Genomic DNA, 13,688 nt, shown 5'->3' with positions numbered 1-13,688 from the left:
TGCCTCAATTTCAGAGCCTGTTATTGGTCTATTCAGGGATTCAACTTCTTCCTAGTTTATTCTTGGGAGGGTGTATGTGTCCAGGAATTCATCCATTTCTTCTAGACTTTCTAGCTTATTTGCATAGAGGTGTTTATAGTATTCTCTGATGGTAGTTTGTATTTCTGTGGGCTCAGTGGTAATATCCCCTTTATCATTTTTTATTGTGTCTATTTGATTCTTCTCTCTTTTCTTCTTTATTAGCCTTGCTAGCAGTCTATCAATTTAGTTGATTTTTTAAAAAAAAACAGCTCCTGGATTCATTGATTTTTTGGAAGAGTTTTTTGTTTCTCTGTCTCCTTCAGTTCTGCTCTGAAGACCTGAAGGTGTTAAAGTCCCCCATTATTATTGTGTGGAAGTCTAAGTCTCTTTGTAGGTCTCCAAGGACTTGCTTTATGAATCTGGGTGCTCCTGTATTGGGTGCATATATATTTAGGATAGTTAGCTCTTCTTGTTGAATTGATCCCTTTACCATTATGTAATGGCCTTCTTTGTCTCTTCTGATCTTTGTTGGTTTAAAGTCTGTTTTATCAGAGACTAGGATTGCAACCCCTGCTATTTTTTTTTTGCTTTCCATTTGCTTGGTAGATCTTCATCCCTTTATTTTGAGCCTATGTGTATCGCTGCACATAAGATAGGTCTCTTGAATACAGCACACTGATGGGTCTTGACTCTTTATCCAGTTTGCCAGTCTGTGTCTTTTAATTGGAGCATTCAGCCCATTTACATTTAAGGTTAATATTGTTACGTGTGAATTTGATCCTGTCATTATGATCTTAGCTGGTTATTTTGCTCGTTAGTTGATGCAGTTTCTTCCTAGCATCAATGGTCTTTACAATTTGGCATGTTTTTGCAGTGGCTGGTACTGGTTGTTCCTTTCCATGTTTAGTGCTTCCTTTTAGGAGCTCTTGTAAGGCATGCCTGGTGGTGACAAAATATCTCAGCATTTGTTTGTCTGTAAAGGATTTTATTTCTCCTTCACTTATGAAGCTTAGTTTGGCTGGATATGAAATTCTGGGTTGAAAATTCTTTTCTTTAAGAATGTTGAATATTGTCCCCTGCTCTCTTCTGACTTGTACATTTTTTGCTTAGAGATCCACTTTTAGTCTGATGGGCTTCCCTTTGTGGGTAACCAGACCTTTCTCTCTGGCTGCCCTTAATATTTTTTCCTTCATTTCAACTTTGGTGAATCTGACAATCATGTGCCTTGGAGTTGCTCTTCTTGAGGAGTATCTTTGTGGCGTTCTCTGTATTTCCTGAATTTGAATGTTGGCCTGCCTTGTTAGGTTGGGGAAGTTCTCCTGGATAATATCCTGCAGAGTGTTTTCCAACTTGGTTCCATTCTCACTGTCACTTTCAGGTACACTAATCAGATGTAGATTTGGTCTTTTCACATAGTTCCATATTTCTTGGAGGCTTTGTTCATTTCTTTTTATTCTTTTTTCTCTAAACTTCTCTTCTTACTTCATTTCATTCATTTGATCTTCAATCACTGATACCCTTTCTTCCACTTGATCAAATCGGCTACTGAAGCTTGTGCATGCCTCAGATAGTTCTCGTGCCATGGTTTTCAGCTCCATCAGGTCATTTAAGGTCTTCTCTACACTGTTTATTCTAGTTAGCCATTTGTCTAATCTTTTTTCAAGGTTTTTAGCTTCTTTGTGGTGGGTTCAAACATCCTCCTTTAGCTCGGAGAAGTTTGTTATTACTGATGGTCTGAAGCCTTCTTCTCTCAACTCCTCAAAGTCATTCTCCATCCAGCTTTGTTCCATTGCTAGTGAGGAGCTGTGTTCCTTTGGAGGAGAAGAGGTGCTCTGATTTTTAGAATTTCAACTTTTCTGCTCTGGTTTCTCCCCATCTTTGTGGTTTTATCTACCTTTGGTCTTTGATGATGGTGATGTACAGATGGGGTTTTGGTGTGGATATCCTTTCTGTTTGTTAGTTTTCGTTCTAACAGTCAGGACCGTCAGCTGCTGGACTGTTGGAGTTGCTGGAGGTCCACTCCAGACCGTGTTTGCCTGGGTATCACTAGCGGAGGCTGCAGAACAGCAAACATTGCAGAATGGCAAATGTTGCTGCCTGATCCTTCCTCTGGAAGCTTCGTCTCAGAGTGGCGTCCGGCTATATGAGGTGTCAGTCGGCCTCTACTGGGATGTGTCTCCCAGTTAGGCTACTTGGGGGTCAGGGACCCACTTGAGGAGGCAGTCTGTCCGTTCTTAGATCTCAAACTCTGTGCTGGGGGAAGCACTACTCTCTTCAAAGCTGTCAGACAGGGATATTGAAGTCTGCAGAAGTTTCTGCTGCCTTTTGTTCAGCTCTGCCCTGCCCCCAGAGGTGGAGTCTACAGAGGCAGGCAGGCCTCCTTGAGCTGTGGTGGGCTCCACCCGGTTCGAGCTTCCTGTCCACTTTGTTTACCTACTCAAGCCTCAGCAATGGTGGATGCCCCTCCCCTAGCCTCACTGCTGCCTTGCAGTTCGATCTCAGACTGCTATGCTAGCAGTGAGTGAGGCTTCATGGGTGTGGGACCCTCTGAGCCAGGCGTGGGATATAATCTCCTGGTGGGCCGTTTGCTAAGACTGTTGGAAAAGCGCAGTATTAGAGTGGGAGTGTACCAATTTTCCAGGTACCATCTGTCATGGCTTCCCTTGTCTAGGAAAGGAAATTCCACAACCCCTTGTGCTTCCCAGGTGAGGCAATGCCCCACCCTGCTCCATGGGCTGCACCCACTGTCCAACAAGCCCCAGTGAGATGAACCCGGTACCTCAGTTGGAAATGCAGAAATCACCTGTCTTCTGCATCACTCACGCTGGGAGCTGTAGACTGGAGCTGTTCCTATTTGGCCATCTTGGAACCTCCTCCAAATATTGATTTACTTGTAAATAGATAGCTTTTATCATTATTCATGGTCCAAAAAATTCCTCTTGACATATATACAGCTATGCATAGAGAGATACGGTAGAATATACATACTATATTATCATGAATGAAGTAGAAATTAATATTTAAAATTTTCATATTGATTTTAAATGTTTTCTATAGTTTACTTTAAAAAATATGATTATTTGAAGTATTTAATTGAAAGAAACATTAACTTATTGGGTATATATAAAAGAGACTTCTGTCTATTCCTAATACAATTTAAAATAAAAGCAAATATTTGGAAATTTAATGTTTGTCTAGGCCAGGTGCAGTGGTTTACACCTGTAATCCTAATACTTTGGGAGGCCAAACTGAAAGGAACACTTGAGGCCAGGAGTTCTGGACCAACCTGGGCAACATAAAGAAATCCTTATCTCTACAAATAATTAAAAATAATTAGTTCAGCATGATGGCATGCACCTGTAGTTCCAGCTATGTATTAATCCATTCTCACATGGCTATAAAGAACTGTCCAAGACTGGGTAGTTAATAAAGGAAAGAGTTTTAGTTGACTCACAGTTCCAGAGGGATGGGGAGACTTCAGGAAACTTACAGTCATGGTGGAAGCGGAAGCAAACACATCCTTCTTCACATGGCAGCAGCAAGGAGGAGTGCCAAGCAAAAGGGGGAAAAGCCCTTTATAAAACCATCAGATTTCGTGAGAAGCCACTCATTGTCCCAAGAACAGCATGAGGGTAACTGCCCCCATGTTTAAGTTACCTCCCACCAGGTCCCTCCAACAGCATGTGGGGATTATGAGAACTGCAATTCAAGATGAAATTTGGGTGGAGACAAAGCCAAACCATATCAAGCCTCTTGGGAGGCTGAGGCAGAAAGATTGTGTGAGCTGCAGTGAGCTATAATCATGCCACTGCACATCAGCCTGGGTGACAACACAAGATCCTGTCTTTAAAATATATATACATATATATATGAATGATTATTTAAATATTTAATTGTCACATATATAATAATTAAAATATATAATTCATAAACTCATTTACTATATTATTTTAGTTTTTAAAACATAACTAATAAGGGTGAGTTTTATACATTAGAATACTTCGATCATATCTATTATATTTTAGTGGAATAAAGTATTAAAAGATACTTAATAAATGCTAATTCATAATTTTAAGTGATCAAGTTTATAACTTTTTTAGAGTACTTGAAATTCTGGGTTTCAAAATGACAATTTTTTCCAAGATTAAAGCCACAGCTATTTTTATAATTTCTTAAAACAATGAATTTGACTTGATTCATTTTGTAAATTTCCCAGAAATAATATTAGGAATTAGAGCTGTTTCCCAAAGCCTATTACCTTTACCTATTATATAGCTTATTTATGCAACTATTTTAAAAAGACTTTGGAAAGAAGTAAAGAAAGGAAAGGAGGGAGGAAGGGAAAGCAAAAAGAAGGGAAGAAGGGAAGGAAGATTTTAGGAAAGGACAGAGAGAGAAAAAAACTTTTAAATGTTTTGAGAGGAAAGTCTACATCATTTTAGTTATTTAGTATAGTTATCATAATATGTGATATAAAATAAAATGTGCTTTGATAACAAGGGTGATAAAAGAATCAAAATGTTTCTTGCAGGCTAAATGAGTCCTCTCAGGGCCACACTTTCATGATGGTGTGGTATATCTATAGAATAATTGCAATCTTAGAATAAAAAGTTTATTGATGTAGTCACTATGTAACATGTATGTTCATATTTGTATACATACAATCTTATCTGTAAAAATCATCTAGGAAGTTCTAAGATTTTCTGGATAGCAAACTATTTTAGTCATATGTTCATATTTATATACATACAATCTTATCTGTAAAAATCATCCAGGAAGTTCTAAGATGTTCTGGATAGCAAACTATTTTAGGCATCTGAGAGATAACATTCCATAATACCAGCATGTTTTCTTTTTCATTTTATCAATTACAGGCATAATTCCATATGCAAAAAAAAATTTTGGCTTTATTAAAAAGAAGATTCTAAGTATAATTAACTTATTTTATGTTTTTGAGAGCCAATCTGATTGTCATAAGTAATTTTAGTCACCGTCCTACAGACTGAATGGGTCCTCATGCTAGCAAAAACTCTAAAAATTTGTTCTTGAAGCAGTTGGTGCTATAATTATCCTCTTTCATCATTGACCTCCTGTTCTGGAGGTGACTTGAATTATGTGCTGCATAACCTCTTAGAAAGTGTTCTAAGGCGAGATTTACTAGGGTATCAAATTCTATAGTATCTTTGCCAAGCACTTTTGCTCAATTGTATTGCCACCTTATTTTCCTGGTAAAGGACTATTGCCTTTAAGATAGTACTGAAAAATGTTAAGTTGATTTGTTATTAAAAGACTTCGGTTTTAGTGTGAGCCAAGTTTGTTCAATTAATAACTTTGGCATTTTCCAGCTAAGAAAATTTCAGAAGATAATTCTTAAAGCCTAGATTTTATTATTTTAAAAATATAGGTAGTAGGGCTGGGCGCGGTGGCTTACGCCTGTAATCTCAGCCCTTTGGAAGGCAAAGGCGAGCGGATCATGAGGTCAGGAGTTTAAGACCTGGCTGGCCAACATAGTGAAACCCTATCTCTACTAAAAATAGAAAAAAATTAGCCGGGCATGGTGGCGGGCTCGTGTAGTCCCAGCTGCCTGAGAGGCTGAGGCAGGAGAATCACTTGAACCTGAGAGGCGGAGGTTGCAGTGAGCGGAGATCGTGCAACTGCACTCCAGCCCGGGTAAGAGTACAAGACTCTGTCTCAAAAAAAAAAAAAAATGTAGGTACTATTAATACCAACTTCTGAACTTATTGTAGGTATGAAAATGCATGTAATACATGCAGTCTGATACATAGTAAAATACTCAAACTGATAGCTAACAACTCTTGTTATTATCATTATTATTCAAATGCAAGCAAAGTTGCTGACATTGCATGACACTGTGCCCCAAGTCCTACGATGTCTTCTGCTAAACCCCCACTCTTTCACAAGCAAATCATATACAAGGTTTGCCATTGTATATGATTATAATAAGTCTGATTCTGTCCATATAGGCCAAAGTTTTTCTAAAAAAATGTGTCCTTGTTTCTATAAATCTTCAGTGGGTGAACTGACCATCCACCACTAGGTGAAATCAGTGGTTTATATAAAAATATTATCCCAGAACTGGCAGTTCCCTAACATGCTTTCAAGGTTTATTCAATGTTCTCTATTTCCCAAACCTTCAAATATATGAATACTTTAGATATCAGTTGAAGTGTCTGGGCACCCTTGATGTGTGGTTATCCATTCACTTATTTATGCAAATAAATTTTTTATAAATAAAATTTATAAATAAAATTTTTATAAATAATTTTTAAATAAATTTATAAAAATTTTATGAATAAATAAAATTTTATAAAAATTTTATGAATAAATAAAATTTATAAAAATTTTATGAATAAATAAAATTTATAAATAAATTTTTTTATAAATAAAAAATTATTTATTCAAATACTCCTTGAGTACATATTATGGGTCAGGTAACATTCAAGGTACTCAGCTACAGTCCCTACCCTAATAAAGCTTGTATTCTTATGTGGGAGACAAACAGTAAACAAGTAAATACATAAAATATATGCTATAATTTCAGACAGGGTTGCTGAAGAAAGATAATTTAAAGGGAGTATTAGAGAACGCCTGGAGAAGAGGAAGGTAAATTTATTAGCCAAAAATCTGAGAGATGAGTGTATTATATTGCCACCTTATTTTCCTGGTAAAGGACTATTGCCTTGGCAAAGCCAAGGAGGCAGGAACAAGGAAAATGTGTGAAAGGGAAATGAACAAGATGAAATCAGATGAGTAGGCAAAAAAGAAATGTTTTTAGGATCAGATTGCCCTTACTAACAACTTTGTATTTATTTTTTTTGTGTGTGATGCAAAATCATTGGAAGGGTTTAAGCAGGAGTCATGAGATAATTTTAATACAATGGAAGCAGAAAGTCAATTAAGAGTCTACTACAGAAAACACAGAGGATATGAGAAGACATTAGGGCCTATACTCATTGAGGTATTGGCAGGATGTGATGATGATTTGGCTATGGGGCTTAAGAGAAAGGATCAATGATTACCCCTAGGCTTTCAGATAGAACACCTTAGTAAAAGGTAGAGCCATTATCTATAGTAGAAGAGTTATAAATTTGGGAGATGAAATCATTCTGGTTTTGAATACATTTATTTGAAAATAGCATATCTGTGGACAATTATGTGTACTAGTTTGGACTTAAAATGTTCAGAGTTTAGCCAGATATTAAAATTTGATATTTATGAACAAATAGAAGATATTTGAAGCTATCAGACTGGGAGAGGTTCCAGGGGCCGAGAGTAGAAGTAGAAAATGTAGAAGTTCTTGAAACAGAGCCTTGGAAAACTCCAACATTTAGTAGCCAGAAAGAGTGGGAACAAGCAGAGTCTGAGACAGAGCACCAGATGGGAAGGAGAAAAGGCAGAATAGTGGAAAAAGGTTAAATAAAGAATGTATTCAAGGAGACAGTCATCAGTGGTGACGTGTAGTATATGAAAGGACTGAACTAACAGAAAATAGGGAATTATACAAATCCTGAAAACTCATATTTATCTCATAGCCCAACTGTAATTCAGGAACCAACATGAGCAACAGATTATTTTCAAGGACAGTCTTGAAGAAAATGGAAATATAAAAAGCAATGTTCTCAGAACAGTTTTTACACCAAAGTGTCAAGTCCAGCCAAATCAACACCCTGTGGGGGGTAATGTTCTTACTTCTTCTTCATCAGAATAATGCCAAATAGGAGTGTTTCTTTCTCTGAAGAAGTTAATGTTGTAATTTAGTGTTTAGGTTTGAAGTAAAACTTTACCACATACTAGTTCTCTGCTCAAGATATTTATTTGACTTCTAGGTTTTAAGAAATTTACAAGGCCTAAGCACTGTAAATGTTACAGTGCTCACCTCAATGTCACCCTACATAGTTCCAAAGGAAACCAATCTGAAACCTAATATAAGTGAGGACAGCCAGCAAAATTTTGACTGTTCCTTTACAATCACTTTGATTCTTTTAAAAACTTATCAAATTTTAATTGTTTTCTTTAAAAGTGACTTTGTTTGGTGTCCCAACTTATCTTGGCCTATCTCTGGAATATTTCAGCACTCTTTAACTTATTGTAAGCCACAAGTTCCTTAGCTCTAAAATGGGTAACAGAGTACACATACATCATCTTTAATGTGGTTCCGGCAAGTGGTAAGCATCTAGCAATTGTTAGCGTCATTAACTTACCATTATTACTATCATCTTCATTATTAATGTCATCTTAAAAGATTGAGCATTAACCTAATGATGTATAGAAATACCTAGCATGGTAATCAACACAGTGTAGATGGTAAATAATTTTTGTTTTTTTAGCTTTCATGTCCATTCCTGCACTTTACTACAGTCCTCTCAAATTAGCCAAGCATGGTTGCACACACCTGTATTCCCAGCTACTTGGGAGGCTAAAGTGGGATAGGAACACTTGAAACCAGAAGTTTTGAGGTTATGGGGAACTATGGTGATGCCACTGCACTCCAGCCTGGGCAACAAAGGAAGACCCTGTCTCTGAATTTAAAAAAGGAGATATTGGGTGTTTTGGGAGGAAGATGTAATTCACATAATTAAAGGAAAGTGGTAGAGAAGATGCCCAAAGCAACCATTAATTTTTCTCTCATATAAATCATTTTAAAATAACCTGTAGTAGAGATACTTCATTGATTCAGATTGAGTTATCATGAAGAAATAATGATCTGGCTACATTTCAGCTCTGAAAGAATGAAAATATGGAAATATGATTTTCACTTCTAAAAGACCATGAATTTTAAAGATCCATTTAATATTATCATTGCACTGTGTTTTAACTTGGTAACAGCAAATTAATAATTAATAATTTTATTTTAGGGATTACCTGCAAGTCGTGTGAGGTATAGAGTAGATGATGTACAGTTTCCTTACCCTGCCAGTATTTTTGAAGTGGAAGAAGATTCTGGAAGAGTAATAACACGAGTCAATCTTAATGAAGAACCTACAACAATTTTTAAGGTCAGTGTCTCTTTTCATTATGTGGTCTATTTGATGTTTAATTTTTGATAGAGAATTTGGCTTAACAGATGACAGCACATTTTTTTCTTTCAATTTTTCTCCTTTTTAATTTTTTTAAATTACAATTTTTTTTTCTCTTAGAAACTTACAAAAATAGTAAAAAGAAAACCACTTGGTATCTCACATCTTGGAAATAGCTAGAATTTGCGTTTTGATCTCTATCCTCATGATGACATTTCATACAAACACAAATATATAAATATATGTTTTCAAATCACATAGTCTTATACATACTGGTTTTTAAATTCAATATGATGTTGTCTATGCCAATAAGTGACATTAATACTATTATTTTAGTGGTTTCATAGTATTTTACTATATAACATTTTGTTTTTCTTTTTAATATAATACTGAGTTGCTTTATAATTAGACTTTCCATTTTTTGTTACAATAAATGCTATCATGCAACTACTTGTATGAATATCATTTTTCCCTTACTCACTTTTTTAAGATAAGATTGATATATTACAATCCTAGAAAATTTGAAAAAAATACCCCTTGTATGCATTCTTCATCTTTCCTGAGAGTATCCATTTTCCTAATACCACTCAATACTGATTGTTGTTATGTTAATCTTTGCATATATCTAGGAAAATATCTGTATCTATTTGATTTTTTGTCAAATTTTACTTTTCTTCAAATACTAATGAAACAGAACATATTCCCTCTTTTGTTTTTTACATATTTAAAAATATATTTGACAAAATAATGCCTGTCTCTACCTGGCAAGGTATTAAAACAATAATTTGCATTACCATAAGTAGACAATTTTATTAAGTGTTTGAACATTTCCATTTTTAATAGTTACTTAGAATAATTTTTGTCACTGTGAATAAAGTCTTTGACTCTACAGTAGGGAAATAGCTTTATCAGTTAACCACGTAAGGATCAGTGAGCACTATGTCTCTCATGATTTTACCGCTGTTTGGAACAGCTGATCAGTTTGTAAATTAGCATTAACCCAAAGGTCAATTGTGGCTCTCAGGATGATCCTTGGTTACAGTCTTCTGTGATCTAGGTTGAATTAGTTTACATTGTTAACCTGCAGCTTCCAAAACAATTTATATTCCAAAGAAGCACATAGTTCTGAAAGTATTTAACATGTCTTAAAGTAAACATAGAATTACTTTGATGTAATGTAGGTTATTAAAGAAAATAATCAATTATAAATCCTATTGCAGTGATAAATAATGTCAGACATCACATCTCAACACTAAAGCTTTTTCTTAGTTTTCATCATTTGAACAATTTCTGCTATACCAAATGAACTTGGCCTTATAATTTGTTTTTAAGAGATAGTATACCAAAGAGTGTTAAACTATAAAGATTTCCAATTTTATCCTCTAGAGTAAAGTATTTCTGCCCTATAATCTCAAAAACAACTAATTCACTAGGAAAATTAATTTCTTTTTTGAGCAAGATAATTAGCTTTTTATGTGTCTGAATTTAACACTTCTTAAATAAGTGTATTGGTGCTATAAAATCATGTGTATTTACTGTGGGCTTCAGTGGAATTATAGAAATGAGTCTTTAATTGGAGAGATATAGTATAATACACTTGTTTTACTGGTAGTTGTTTTTTAATCATAGAGTTAGTTACTTCTTTGAGTATTCTCATCTAGCAAGTGAAAATAATAACATTTATCTGGCTGGATTATTGTAAAGATTAAGTGAGAACGTAGTATTTTCTAGCATAGTGTCTGCCACCTGGTAGGCAGTGAGGAAATGATCATTGCTTCCCCTTCTGGAACCAGGCAATCCAATAAGTAAAAACATACATATAAAAATTGTGCTGTTACGCTGTTCTTACTTATAATCTTTAACATGAATTTTTATTGCTTTTTAAGTTGGTGGTGGTTGCTTTTGATGATGGGGAGCCTGTGATGTCCAGCAGTGCCACAGTGAAGATTCTTGTCTTACATCCTGGTGAGATCCCACGCTTCACACAGGAGGAATATAGGTATTGATTTCTGTCCGATTTTGAAATACACGAAATGTTTAGGGCATTTTTGAAAGGAGTCTCTCAAAATTGATGTAATATGAATTTATGAGTAGACTTCCAATTTTGGTTTAGGCGTTTCTAAATTAACATAAAATATAGTTTAAATTTTTAAATGGTTAATATGACAATTTAGTATAAAATATGTTTTAGTAATGGTTTAATGAATAATGGATACTTTTTAAAAAATTAGTGCAAACTTATTAAAATACAACATTATATTTTGGGGTTTCAATTCTAATTAATGATCTGAATGGTGAGAAATAGATCTTTAGTTTCTCATTATTGCCAGGTGGAACATTTCATTCAATTTCCAATTTTGGCATGCAATCTGCAATCATATTTTCCATCTAATCAGTGTGTATGTGTGTATGTGTGTACGTTTGTGTGTGTAAATATGTAGTGCATGTGTATATATATAGTGTGTATATATATATATAAATGTAGTGTGTGTATTTATATATACTGTGTGTATACATAAATTTATATATATACTGTGTGTATATATATATACACACTATATATACACATATATAATACATATACATTTATATATATACACTATATGCATATACACCAATATTATATATTATAGTTTATGGTTAGTATATATACTGTTTTAGTCAACTGAGGCAGCCATAACAAAATACCATAAATTGGGTGGCTTAAACGACAGAAAATTCTGTTCTTTTTTTTTTTTTTTTTTTTTTTTTTGAGATGGAGTCTTGCTCTGTTGCCCAGGCTGGAGTGCAGTGACGTAATCTCGGGTCACTACAAGCTCCACCTCCTGGGTTTGCACCATTCTCCTGCCTCAGCCTCCCGAGTAGCTGGGACTACAGGTGCCCACCACCATGCCTGGCTAATTTTTTGTATTTTCAGTAGAGGTGGGGTTTCACTGCATTAGCCAGGATGGTCTCGATCTCTGACCTCCTGATCCACCTGCCTCAGCCTCCCAAAGTGCTGGGATTACAGGCGTGAGGCACTGTGCCCGGCCACAACAGAAAGTTATTTTCTTATTGTTCTGGTAGCTGACAATCCAAGTTTAAGACCAGGGTGTCTGCATGGTCAGGTTCAGGGTCTCTTCTGGTCTTAATAGGCAGCTGCCTTTTTGCCATGTCCTTATCTGGAGAGAGAGAGAGAAAGCAAGCTCTCTGGTATCTCTGGAAACAAATAACTATATGAAAAATATAATACACTGTGAGAACACAATGGTAGAAATAAGATCACAGTATTGAGGAAGCAGGCTAAGGGACACTTAACTATATTTGAACATGATTAACACAGTTTTAAGTTGTAGATTGAAGGAAATGTAGAGTTTAGTCAATCCAAAAAGATATAGATGGATATTCCACACCAAATATTCAGCCTATGCAGAAATATAAATAAGGGGTGTGGGAGTCTACATTAAATTCCAGAATATTTTAGTAGTTTAGTCTATCCAAAGAAAAATTGAAAGTTGGATGATGATAATAATTGAGGATAATGAAAAATGAATATTTCAGGTAATGGAGAACTTGATCATGTTCTAGGATGACTTTAGTGTTTTTTACTTTCTTAGAATGAATTAATAATTTTAAGCTAGAACAGCAGCTAAGGTACTGAGGAATAAGGTAGGTGAGGGATACATCTGCAAGCACTTAACCCACTGAACCAAGCAGTTTCATCCTCTCATACAAAGCTGCGTTTAGAAGAATCTACACAAAATTAAATTATGTAATATAATTACCAGAAAATCTTCCATAGCATGTATGTAAATCATCGAGATGTAAACCATATGTAAAACAAATAAGAATTCTTGTTTAATCTGTTTTAAAAGGTTATTCTCACCCACATGTACATTATTATCTATTATTTTCCTTTTTTTTCTGACACAGTAACCTGTGCTTCCAATCCTTTGGATTGGATTCCAATTCTTTGCTATGGAATACAGTAGTCCCCTCCTTATCCACAGTATCATTTTTCACAGTTTGTTGCCCGAGGTCAACCGTGGTCAGAAAATATTAAGTGGAAAATTCCAGAAATAAACAATTCGTAAGTTTTAAATTGTATGGCATTCTGAGTATCATGATGAAATCTTGTGCTGTCCTGTGTCACTCTGCCCTGGAGCTGAATCATTCCTTTGTCCATTGTATCCAGGCTGCCCATCAGTCACTTAGTAACTGTCTGGGTTATCAGGAAAAAAAAAAAAACATAGTAAATATAGGCTTTGGTGTCATCTGAAGTTCCAGGCTTCTAGTGGAGGTCTTGGAGTATATCCCCCATAAATAAAGGGGGACTCCTATGCACAGTTTTCTGTTTTGGAAGAACTTCTCTGAACATGTTAATTTTGGAGTTCTCAAGAACAGGACGGATATAAACTCACTTTGTTTCTCACTAAATTATCTAGATCAGGTGTTCTCAAAAAATATACTTAGTCTTCTAAGTGGATCCAAAAAAACGCTCACAGTTTTAACTTAAAATTCCCATCTGTGTTCTTCAAAGCCCCTTGCGGCAAGTCTAATTATCTTTGGAAACTCCAAGAGAAGAAAGTGATATATTGCTTAAACTTCCTCTTTAAATAAACTTAAGTGGTGTACTGTTTCTCTAGGTTT

General features: G+C 35.2%; 1 protein-coding gene across 19 annotated transcripts in view; it reads left to right on the top strand.

Annotated features, from left to right (window-relative positions):
* PCDH15 (protocadherin related 15) overlaps positions 1 to 13,688 on the top strand; it is a 1,825,172-nt gene that overhangs the window by 1,657,153 nt on the left and 154,331 nt on the right. For all 19 annotated transcript variants that reach the window (XM_047425663.1, NM_001354420.2, NM_001354429.2 and 16 more), the window contains 2 exons: positions 8,898 to 9,038; positions 10,946 to 11,058. In XM_047425663.1, the coding sequence (XP_047281619.1) occupies positions 8,898 to 9,038; positions 10,946 to 11,058 (254 nt within the window). The remainder of the gene's footprint in view (positions 1 to 8,897; positions 9,039 to 10,945; positions 11,059 to 13,688) is intronic.

Source organism: Homo sapiens, chromosome 10 (assembly GCF_000001405.40).
Source record: "Homo sapiens chromosome 10, GRCh38.p14 Primary Assembly".
NCBI lineage: Eukaryota > Metazoa > Chordata > Mammalia > Primates > Hominidae > Homo > Homo sapiens.
The sequence above is the reverse complement of the archived record's forward strand: the minus strand, read 5'-3'. Positions and strand labels throughout refer to the sequence as shown.